General features: G+C 40.9%; 1 protein-coding gene and 1 pseudogene across 10 annotated transcripts in view, besides 1 other annotated feature; one reads left to right on the forward strand and one right to left on the reverse strand.

Moving 5' to 3' along the window:
- Nucleotides 1-12,655, reverse strand: part of NEBL (nebulette) — a 513,078-nt gene that overhangs the window by 244,101 nt on the left and 256,322 nt on the right. The gene's annotated exons all lie outside the window — the stretch shown is intronic.
- Nucleotides 4,910-6,720, forward strand: EIF4BP2 (eukaryotic translation initiation factor 4B pseudogene 2; annotated as a pseudogene).
- Nucleotides 9,527-9,703: a silencer, noted in NCBI's record as "fragment chr10:21322529-21322705 (GRCh37/hg19 assembly coordinates)". NCBI's record gives its function as "represses an EF-1alpha promoter that drives an FKBP-Casp9 reporter gene in an ReSE screen in K562 erythroleukemia cells {active_cell/tissue: K562}" and the evidence as "EXISTENCE:reporter gene assay evidence [ECO:0000049][PMID:32094911]".

Here is a 12,655-nt window from a genome sequence, read left to right on the forward strand (position 1 = left end):
AAAAAAAAACATTGAAAAGCTTCTACTGTCTTTTAGAAAAATATTCTGCTAATCTCATGACCAAAGTGCAAACTTACTAGCATACTATGCAATGTATACTGATATCTAGGACTAGAAACATATAACAATGCTTTGTACTTTTTCCAATTATCTTTTTAAATCCTAAGATTTAATGATTTTTTAATAGTGGGTTAATCAGTATGTAGCATAACTTTCTCTAAAGATGCATAACAGGAAGAAACTATCCAAAATCTTGATGTAGGAGAGAAAAAGTTCAATTTAGTATTAGTAACGAAAATAATAAATGCTGAGGGAAAGAAGGAATTTATACCTGAAACTACCAGGGATCATGAGAACTAAAATGAATTAAAACCTGAGGATTGGGGGATTCACATTATATTCAGAGCTAGCAAAATGCAAGAGAATAAGATCTTCCAAAAAAAAAAAAAGAAGGCTTAACTATTGAGAAAGAGTGGGATGGCCTCATGAGTTGAGACCATAAGACTCAGAAGAAATAAGTGTAATTATAGAGATGGCAACTCATACTGCCTTATACTGAAAATGAAAATTACAATATCTGTAGGAACCTAATTAATTTCAAACTCAACACATCTGAAAATCCCATCAAACACTGGATTTCTCAACATCATGTCCATGTAGTAATGTCCATCTAATCTAATCCGACAACATTCTGCTCTGAAGTCACAATCTCAACTTCCACTCACCCACCACTCCACCTCTCCAGCAAAAAAAGAAAAAGAAAAGAAAACCAGATAAGATAAGAAATAAACTGAGGGGCTGGTGGTCCTCATACGATTATAGAAGAGAGAAGTCAAGCATCTAACACGAATCGGTAGCACCATACAATTAATTCTAAAGCCCTTTCCAAACACTGCATTCAAAAGATTGTGAAAGGTCTTCCTAAAAAATTGTCTTGAATAGAAATCTTAAGGAAAACAGAAGATTTCTCCACCAGGCCTAGAGGAAGAATAACACTTTTTTCCTCCTCCATATTGGAGTAAGAATGTAGGAAGAAGACACAGGGCATGAGAAATGGATGTTCAAAGAGAATCAGGAAACAAAAAAAAAAGGAGGAATGGATGAATTGACACATTCATAAGTTTCATGGAAAACAAAACATAATTGTGGAAATATGACATGTAACGCATTCAGAGCTGGTTGAGAGATGTGGGGAATATGCTGAAATGTTTAGCATCATAAACAGAAGTCTCTTAGATGAGCTATGCAAGAATTGGCTGAAGTGTGTGTATCAAGACTGAGCTGACAGTTGCAACAAATCCAGATTTCCATAAAATGCTGTATTAAAAATAAAGACAGAGAGAATCAAGATAATAATAGAAGACTGCATCTGAAATAGTAAAGTTAGGTCACAGAAAGATGACTTCAAATTTTTTTTCTCTGTGAGATTCAGTTGTTAAAAATATAGGAAAAGTTATATGCAAATCACTAGACCTCGTCAGAGCTCGTCAAAATGCAGGAAGCGACATAAGCAAATGGCAACCTCCATGGAGATGGGAATGAGAAAGAACATGACTGGGGAGAGCGAGAACCCAGAAACACTCTCTTTTTATCCAGATTCCGGTGCTTATAGGAGCACAGGAGTCAAAGTGCCTGGGTTTGTACTTGGCTTGTCTACCTTCCATCTGTGTGCCTTTGGGTTAGGTTTCTTAACCTCTCTGGCCTCAACTTTCTCATCTATAAGAAAAACATAAGAGTAGCACAATTCAGGCTTGCTGCAAAATTCACACATGCAAGTCATTTGAAACCATTTGTGGCTCATAGTAGGCACTCAAGAAAATGTCTACCATTACTTATAATATTATTATCACTATTACTATTAATATTATGGCTACTAACTACTACTACTTTCTCTTTGCTCTCCTGCAAAGTAATTTAACCTCTGTGTCTCACGACCTTCATCTATATAGTCGGAATAAAATATTCCTGGTTCTCTCATGAAGTTGCTGCTGGAATCACATGAAAAAGTTTTATAAATGGAAAACTACTGTAAATGAGAAACATTAGTGAACAACTCAGACATATAAAGCTAAGATCTTCATGGATTTATTTTCTGTAAAACCCATGTTTTCATACTGTCCTCAGAGGACATTTGGCAATAGGCAACGTCCGGAGACATTTCTGGTTGTCTCATTTGGGAGTGAGTAGGGAGGGGAAAATACTACTGACATCTCGTGGTCAGGAGGCCAGAAATGAGGCTATCCTACAGTACACTGTACAGCCCCTCCCTGACAGACTTATCCTGTCCCAAATGTCAACAGTGCTGAGGTTAATAAGTCTTGTTTAATAGATATAAATCTCTAACATTATAGGCAACCACTAATTTTAAGACTTCTAGCTCTAACAAATCTCTAAACTTTGTTTTCATTCCTGTCTCCTGGTGAAATCAAACAGCCACCATGGCCCCTTAATCTTTTGCCATATTCTAAATCGATTATATCCATCTCCATCTTCTCCCTCCTGAGCACTTAAGTCCACCTTCTCTGGCTTTCCGTTTACCTAACCACTGTCACATTTACACTCAAACTAGAGGATCTGAGAGCAGAATTCAGATGTCAAAAGAATTTGTTGCTATATGATGATTTCCTTATGGGCTTTATGTGAAAATGAGTTAACATGGCAGGGCTGCCTGCTAGCATTCATTTGAAAGGCCTGCTTAGAAGGATGGCCCTTCTCTGGTGTCTGGGAACTTGAATTTGGGGAGGGTTTTCTACCATCATTAACCACCAAGAGTGGTTCACTGTGCTGAAGCTGTTTGTACAAACAGCTAAACACCTGCTTTCTTTATGGGTGTCTGGAATTTGGTGATAACCCACTCCCCCTCTTGGCCACCCATGGGCACTAAGTCTCTAAGGAGCTTCACTGGTTGGCAGTGTTTGACATAGGTTGTCACAATTCATTGCTGGAGGAGTTAAGCGCATCTTGTGTGGCTCTGCTGGAACAAGCGTCTTGCTTCCTCCTGACATGTCCCCATGCATTTTACCTTTGCTGATTTTGCTCTGTGTCTTTTCACCATAACAAATCATGGCCACATGAATAAGCAGGACTGTATGCTGATTCTTGTGAAACCTCCCAGAGAATCATCAAAACTGAGGATGTTCTTGGGGACCCCAGCACAGGCCCCTTTGTGCGTAACAGGCTTTCATTCATAAAGGAAGAAGTATACTAAATATTTAACGTATTATCTTTAAAAAAAAAACAACAACTTTTTTTGTTTTTTTTTTTTTAATTTTCAGATAGAGTCTCACTCTGTCACCTAGGCTGAAGTGCAGTGGCAGGATCACACATCACCGCAGCCTCGACCTCCTGGACTCAGGTGATCCTCCCATCTCAGCCTCCTGAGTAGCTGGGACCAGAGGCAACTGCCACCATGTCAGGCTAATTTTTGTATTTTTTTGTTGAGATGGGGTTTCACCATGTTGCCCAGGCTGGATCTCGAACTCCTGGGCTCAAGTGGTCCAATCAATTCAGCCTTCCAAAGTGCTAGGATTACAGGCATAAGCCACCACACCTGGCCATATTTTTAAAGAACATTTAAAAAGCAAAAGTTGTGACTTCACATCATGAAACTGGCTTTTTAGCTCCTCCTCTCTGAGTTAGGAGAGAGACCAATCTCTTTGCTGGGGACCATCTTTCACACTCTGATTTTAACCAAGGAAGTCATTTTACCCAATGACCAAGACCATAACTAACTGTTAGGGATGTAGGAAGATGATAGAAGGTTTAAATGTAATTTTAATTATTCCTCCTAAGTCTGAACCACTCCATTTTGTAGGAAAAATGGTTGTTTTATGTCATTCAAAATTATCTTTAAAGAATGAGAAATAGGCCAAGTGCAGTGGCTCACACCTGTAATCCCAGCACTTTGGGAGGCCAAGGCAGGTGGATCACATCACCTGAGGTCAGGAGTTCAAGAGCAGCCTGGCCAATGTGGTGAAACCCTGTCTCTACTAAAAATACAAAAATTAGCCAGGCATGATAGCACACACCTATAATCCTAGCTACTCAGGAGGTTGAGGCAGGAGAATTGCTTGAACCCAGGAGGCAGAGGTAGCAGTAAGCTGAGATTGTGCCACTGCACTCCAGCCTGGCCAACAGAGCGAGACTCCATCTCAAACATCTCAAAAAAAAAAAAAAAAAAAAAGAAGAAGAAGAAGAAGAAGAATGAGAAATAAAACATTTAAAAATAAGCAGACTCTGAGAGAGAGTACCACCATCAGGTCTTCTATGAAGCTACTTATTATAAAGAATACACTGTCAGGAAGAAAGAAAATAATTCCAGAAGGAAAAGCTAAAATGCAAAAAAGGAGAGTGGCAAGCAAATAAAATGTAAATGTGCACACACGCATGCACAGGCACACACACAAACACACATTGTGTGGAATAATAACAGTGTCTACTATATAGGATTTTTTTAAAGACAAAGCTAAAATACTGGACAATAAGTTGAGAGGGCATATGAGAATTAAAGTATTCTAAGATCTTTCTATCCTTCATGAGAAAGGTTAGAATATTATTGAATTTTAGATTTTGTTTAAGCACATGCAATAACATTTTAAGTATAATCACAAAAAATGGAAATAAGATTACATAAATTCAAATCCTAAAAAAGGGAAAATATCAAATTTTTTAGAAGAACCAAAAATCTAACTCAATATAATTTAAAAAAAAAAATGAAGACAGAGAGAAAAAGCATAGAATAAACAGGACAAATAGAAATTTAACAGTTGGGAGAAACAATTCAATAATCATAAAAATGTAAATAGGCAATACTTGCCAGCTAAAAGATTGATATTGTCATATTTTTAAATTCCACTAAAAAATAGCTATACTAATATGAGACAAAATGCTTTTTAAAATGAAAGTGTTGCTTTCCCGCTCCCAACATGGCGGCCTCAGCAAAAAAGACGAATAAGAAGAGGAAAACTATCTCCCTAACAGACTTTCTAGCTGAGGACTGGGGGACTGGTGGAGGAAGCACCTATGTTTCCAAACCAGTCAGCTGGGCTGATGCAACAGATGACCTGGAAGGAGATGTTTCAACGATTTGACACAGTAATGATAACAATGTGTATAGGGCGCCTCCAATTGACCATTCCATCCTTCCCACTGCTCCACCGGCTGCTCGGGAACCCAATATCAACTGGAGCTTTCTTCCCAAATCGCCACCCTACACTTCTTTTCTAGGGAACCTATCCTATGATGTGACAGAAGAGTCAATTAAGGAATTCTTTAGAGGATTAATTATCAGTGCAGTGCGTTTACCACGTGAACCCAGCAATCCAGAGAGGTTGAAAGGTTTTGGTTATGCTGAATTTGAGGACCTGGATTCCCTGCTCAGTGCCCTGAGTCTCAATTAAGAGTCTCTAGGTAACAGGAGAATTCGAGTGGACGTTGCTGATCAAGCACAGGATACAGACAGGGACGATCGTTCTTTTGGCCGTGATAGAAATCGGGATTCTGACAAAACAGATACAGACTGGAGGGCTCGTTCTGCCACAGACAGCTTTGATGACTACCCGCCTAGAAGGGGTGATGATAGGTTTGGAGACAAGTATCGAGATCGTTATGATTCAGACCAGTCTGGCCGTGGGTATTGGTATGAGTATCGGGATGGCCCATGCCGGGATATGGATCGATATGGCTGGCGGTAGGGATCGCTATGATGACCGAGGCAGCAGAGACTATGCTAGAGGCTATCATTCCTGGATAGGCAGTGGCAGAAGGGCATTTGGCAGTGGGTACCCAGGGACAATGACTACAGAGGAGGCAGGGACCGCTATGAAGACCGATACAACAGATGGGATGATGGGTCGTGCAGCTCCAGAGATGATTTCTCTCGGGATGATTATAGGTATAATGATAGACGTCCCCCGTCCCCCTCAAAGACCCAAACTGAATCTAAAGCCTCATAATACTCCTAAGGGAGATGATTCTTCTGCTAGTACCTCCCAGTCCGGTCGAGCTTATTTTGTCTTTGGAGGGGCAAAGCCCGTTGATAGAGCTGCTAGAGAAACAAAAGTAGAAGAATGGCTACAGAAGGAACAAGATAAGTTGCAGCATCAGCTGGATGAGGCAAAACTAGAATGACGGCCTCGGGAGAGACACCCAAGCTGGCGAAGTGAAGAAACCCAGGAACCGGAGAGGCACCCAAGCTGGCGAAGTGAAGAAACTCAGGAACTGGAACGGTGGAGGACAGGAAGTGAGTCATCGCACACTGGGACCTCCGCCACACCCGGCAAAAGTCAATCAGACCAGGATGCAGGAAGGAGAGAGACTGAAAAGTCTCTAGAAAATGAAACACTCAGTAAGGAGGAAGACTGTCACTCTCCAACTTCTAAATCTACCAAAACTGATCAGCCCCAAAAGGTAATGCCAGCCCCTCCACCAAAGGAGAATGCTTGGTGAAGTGAGGTTCTAACCCTCCTGCTCCATCTCAGAGCTCAGACACACAGCACGAATACCCTACAAGTGGTGGGGGAAAAGTAACTCCAGCTCAACCGTCTGAGAAAGGACCAGCAAGGAAAGATGAAAATAAAGTAGGTGTGGTGAATGTCCCAAAAGACCACACTGGGAACTCTAGCCATGGTCCAGGAGACAGAGGGAACAAAGACCACTGGAAGGAGTCAGATAGGAAAGATGGCAAAAAGGAGCATGACTCCAGATCTGCACCTGAGCCAATATGTGAAATACGGAATTTGTGACAATGATATTAGTCATGTCTCCATGCAGGGGTGGTATTCAAACCACTTAACACCTGTACATCATGGCACTCACCAATCAAAAATGGTATCTGAAAGATCAGAGCAGGCCTGGCTACAAATTACCATTAGGACACACCGGTGTGCACTGATGACCATCACCCTGCCTCCAACAGCTCCCATGTGGAGGAAAAAGCGTGATGCCCACGTGTGCCATATGGAATGAGAACAGAGTAGTAGAAAGAATGAACAATTCTCTCTGTTTGACAATGGCTGTCTTCGTGGATGTCTGTCCCATCTGAGTTAGCTTCATTGAGGATGTCTGCATTTAAGCCCAGAAGTAGTGAGAAAAGGAAACAGCATGTCACTAGGGTGGAGGCAGAGAGATAGGAGGAGAGAGAGAGAAAGAGGATGATGATGAACCCTATGGGGGTCACCCATCACCTGCTCACCATGAGAAAGCTGCCACCACAACTACCCCAGGAAGAGAAAGCCCAGAGCTGCAGAAGCCCAAGGAATCCCATGCTCAAACAAAGAGGTTTCCCCTAGCAGAGGGAACAACAGGAACAAACACAGCCAGAGGACCGCAGGACAAAAACCAGGCATAGCAATGAAGATTGGATGGACCAAGACCACGCCTATTCCTGCCGCGATGGGAGGCCCAGGGGAGCAGTGAGATGCAGCAACTTCAGGCAGAAACATGAACTGGTGAATTTACATCTAAGCGGCGCTGTGTTCTCCCCAAAACAAAAATGTTAACAGATTTGTTTAAGGAAGACCTCCTCCAATGCCTAGAAAATCTGAACTGAAGCCAGCTCCAAGCTGCCACATCAAGAACAGAACAGAGTCAGCCACTTGCTTTTGCAGATGACTCTGCTGCCTGGGCAGTTTCTCCTTCTACCATTTTCTTTCTTTCCCACCGGGAGCCCAAGTTGTAGAAGACCTGAACCCCCAAAAGTCAAGTCCTGGGCCTCCTTCACTCACTTCTTCCAGGACAGAGTATACACATACTCACTTTACTAGTCTTCATGTTTTATTCCCTATAAAAAAATTTTAAAACTCACATTCATTGCACATAAAAGATTCTGTCTGTTAGTTTCAGAACTGTAAAGCAAAACAGCCTATTATATGAGATAACAAGAAAAACAGAACATTTTTCCCTTGAATAAAAAACTCAAAACTCAAAACTCAAAAACTCAAATGAATAAAATGTCCTAGGAAATGGTATAAGAAGCTATTAATAATTTACAAAAATAATCCAAATTGGGTTATAATTTCAGATGTGTAAAATTGTACAAATGAAGAAATTCTCCCATCAAATGTTTTAAGTCTCATGATAACATTAGTGCAACAATTCTACATATTTCCACAGATTTCCCATTTGAGCAGAGCCAGGAGAATCACCATTTAATAGGTAGAGACATTTTAAGATAATACCTTTTTTACATATTGGGGTCAATCTGGGCATTTTCCACTTAATGGAGCCACTTAAGTAAAAATTTGGTAGTGTACCATTAGCACCATTCAACATCAGCCAAAGGCATAATTATAATGACTATAAGCCTGATATTCTTCTGGGATTTTGGGGTCTAAGATGCTTTTTGAGCCTATCTTCCTGTAGTGTTGATGCGATGTCTATTCATGAATTTCCTTCCACAGCCATCGTCTTGTTCTTAATTCTACCACTAACCTTCTTCCCTGTAGCAGCACCTCTATAAACAACTCACATATAATGCCTCTGGTTGCAAACCATCAATTTTATAATTTTTTTAAAAGACGGTGAATTAGAGCACGTAAATGGGGAATGCCCTTCAGAAAGCAGACTTATGAGAGCTGCTGATAGATAACATAAAAGCAAAAAATGGATTATGATAATGTAGGCCTCTCACACGTGAAATACAAGCCCCAGCTGAAAGGAGTTACAGAATCCAAACCCCTGGCTCTCTAAAGGGCAGTCAATAACCTGTCTAACAATTTACCAAATTCTCTTTCTGGCTCGAAGGGTCAAACAGCTTGCCACCTATTGATCTACTTCCTCAGCAGGACTCAATTGTAACTTCTCTCATGTATTTATAAAAGAAGGCATTATCAAAGGGATTATACGGTAAACCTGACCTACCCTACTATGAAATGCTTATCGGCTATTGAAACATGTCACCTAGATTTTGAATTATGGTGTAAAAGGTGAGAAATTAATACACACACACACACACCTACATATTGTTTAAGAAAAATATGAGCTAGTGGAAGAGAGTCTATTCCCTGTGCTGTTGCTGATATTGATCACGGGAATACACAAACAAGGAAATGTGTGACATCGAGCAGCCCTGTGATTTGTGCCCAGGAACACCAACCGGCACTGTTGATTACAGCCAAGAGAAACACACGCAGATTTGGGACTCGAGTATCTAAGATATGAGTATACTCTGAAAAATATCAAAACAAAGTTTATAAGAAAACAGAACATTAGAAGCACAAGAAGGATCACATTCGATTCCTTTGATAAAGATAATAAATAAGTATCATACCTATAGCAAATGTGCAATATGAACAAAAATAATTATTTAAAGCCTAAAGATGGGGGAAAACCATAAAATAATTCTATTTTTAAGAAAAGACCATGTGTAGATGTACATAAATGTGTAAATGTTTAGTTCCCACTTATAAGAATATATCACAAATATTAAAACTTAAATCTCTGTCACTCTCAAAATTCATCCATGTAGAACAGAAATCTCTTATTGAAAATTGTCCCATCTCTACTAAACATACAAAAATTAGCCAGGCATGGCGGTGTGCACCTGTAGTCCCAGCTACTCGGGAGGCTGAGGCAGGAGAATCACTTGAACCTGGGAGGCAGAGGTTGCAGTGAGTCAAGATTGCACCACTGCACTCCAGCCTGGCAACAAGAGCGAGACTTTGTCTCCGAAAAAAAAAAAAAAAGAAAGAAAAGAAAAGAAAATTGTATGATAAAATATCAATATCTCACTTGGCTCTTATGATATGGCTCTCGTTTGGCTCTCAATATAAAACTACATCTTCAAATAAATTATTTCTTTAAAAAACACCAGTCTGGGCACAGTGGCTCACGCTGGTACTCCCAGCATTTTGGGAGGCCGAGGCGGGTGGATTGCTTAAGTCAGAGACTTTGAGACCAACCTGGGCAAAATAGCGAAAACTCATCTCTACAAAAAAATACAAAAATTAGCTGAGAGTGATGGCACACACCTGTAGTCTCAGCTACTAGGGGGGCTGAGGTGGAAGGATTGCTTGAGCCTGGGAGGTTGAGGCTGCAGTAAGCTGTGATTGTACCACTGCACTCCAACCTAGGCAACAGAGCAAGACCCTATCTCGAAAAAAAAAAAAAAAAAAAAAAAGACCCAAACAAAACTAGAAATACCATATTACATTCAGGTATATATTTTCCATTAAAATACTATGGTCTATAAATGTATGGCCCAAAATAATAAATAAGCTAAATAAATTGTGGAAAACTAATAATTAACAATAAAAATAACAAGAACAACCACTACCACCGGCATACTGATCTATGCCTAGCTTATGGGCTACCTCCTGTGCTCAGAGCAGACATTACTAATCACACCACTCTCAGCAGAGTCCAGAAAAGATCCAACATTCTTCTCAGCACAGTAACGCAGGCACCTGTTGCCAGACATCCTAGAGCACAGGATAAGCCTCCTTGCAATACATAGACTCTACTTATTTGACAATTTGCAGATCAGTTATTTCCTAACTTGTATGACTACAAAAGCAATTTCAACAGACTAATATCTATGTAATCATTGGCCTCCACTATGGAGTTAAAGAACTGTCCTTGGGGAGAGGAGGAAACTGTCTAACGGAGGAAACTGTCTAACGCACTTCAATTTATTAAGTTCCAAATTTTATACATTAAATTCATTTAAATATGGTTTTTCAGGATCGATGCACTGAGGGAGGGAAAAATTATACCAAAATTAGCATCTTTTTTAAATTTTTATTTTAAGTTCCAGGGTACATGTGCAGGATGTGCAGGTTTGTTACACAGGTAAACATCTGCCATGGTGATTTGCTGCACCTGTCAACCCATCACCTAGGTGTTAAGCCCAGCATGCACTAGCTATTTATTCTTATTTATTTATTTATTTATTTATTTATTTATTTATTTATTTATTTTTGAGACAGAGTCTCACTCCATTGCCCAGGCTGGAGTCTAGCTCTGTTGCCCAGGCTGGAGTGCAGTGGTGCAATCTCAACTCGCTGTAACCTCCACCTGCCAGGCCCAAGTGATTATCATGTCTCAGTCTCCTGAGTAGCTGGATTGCAGGCGCCTGCCACCACGCCTGGCTAATTTTTGTATTTTTAGCTGAGACAGAGTTTCACCATGTTGGCCAGGCTGTTTTCAAACTCCTGGCCTCAAGTGATCTGCCCGCTTCGGCCTCCCAAAGTGCTGGGATTACAGGCATAAGCCACCATGCCCAGCCCCCAAGCTATTTATTCTGATGCTCTCCTTCCCCCCGCCCCCCAAAATTAGTATATTTTACAACAGTATGTGTTAAAGAAAATGAACTAAGCATTGTGTACAACCTTGTCAACTACTGTGACCCCGACTATTCTCCTCACCTCTTCCAAGCAACTCAATAAGCAAATCACACTTTCTTCCTAGGTACTTCAAGGCAGAATCTAATCACAAAATATATCAGCTCTTCTTTAAATATACTTATTCCTGGCCATCGATTATATAATTAAACTAAAACTCAATAGGTCATTATACTTCTGCTGTGTTCAGTGCCTTGAATCAGGAGAAAGATGTCCAGCTTTAAGCCTTTTCCATCACAGGATAATGGCATAGGAAGAAAAGAAGAACTTTGTGGAAGGTCTGAACTAGACACCATATTTTAAAATAAATATCCTTATTACCTTCAAAATCATACACATTTTCTTCTCAAATGGCAAACCTCCCACCCAAAGCCCAGCTGAAATATTTTTAAATGTACATATATACATATATAACATGTACATACATACAGAGACAGGAAGAAAGAGAGTTGTTTAAAAGAATAAAAGGGCTGGGCACGGTAGCTTAGGCCTGTAATCCCAGCACTTTGGGAGGCTGAGGTGAGCGGATCACTTGAGGTCAAAAGCTCGAGACAAGCCTGGCCAACATGGTGAAATCCCATTTCCACCAAAAATACAAAAATCAGCTGGGCATGGTGGCGCGCACCTGTAATCCCAGCTACTCAGGGAGCCGAGGCAGGAGAATCACTTGAACCCAGGGGGCAGAAGGTGCAGTGAGCCAAGATCACATCACTGCACTCCAGCCTGGGGGACACAGCTGGAGTCTCAAAAGAAAAAAGAAAGAAAAGGACAGGCACAGTGGCTCATGCCTAAAATCACAGCATTTTGGGAGGCCGAGGCAGGAGGATTGCTTGATCCCAGAGACCAACGTGGGCAACATAGCAAGACCTCCTTTCTACAAAAAATTCTCAAATTAGCCAGGCGTGCTGGTGTACACCTCTGGTCCCAGCTACTCGGGAGGCTTAGGTGGGAGGGTCATTTGATCCTGGGAGGTCGAGCCTGCAGTGAGCCATAATTGCACCTCTGCACTCCAGTCTGGGCAACACGGCAAGGATCTGTCTCAAATTTAAAACTTTAAAAAATAAAGAATAAAAGCATTGACAGTAGAAAGGAAAGAAGGAAGACCCCTTAGTTGATAGTCAATGAATAGGAGCAGATTGATAGAAAAACAAAACAGCCAATGATATCAGACAGATAGGGGCTCTGGAAATGTCACCAGGCCCACAATGGCCAGGCTATTCAAAAAGTGCATTCAGATCAGCTGGCTACTCAGGTCCTTTGCACCCTCCTTTTACTCCATATAAGCAAAGCACGTTCCTCCAGCAGAAGAGGCATCT

The sequence above is a fragment of the Homo sapiens genome, chromosome 10 (assembly GCF_000001405.40).
Source record: "Homo sapiens chromosome 10, GRCh38.p14 Primary Assembly".
Taxonomy (NCBI): Eukaryota; Metazoa; Chordata; class Mammalia; order Primates; family Hominidae; genus Homo; species Homo sapiens.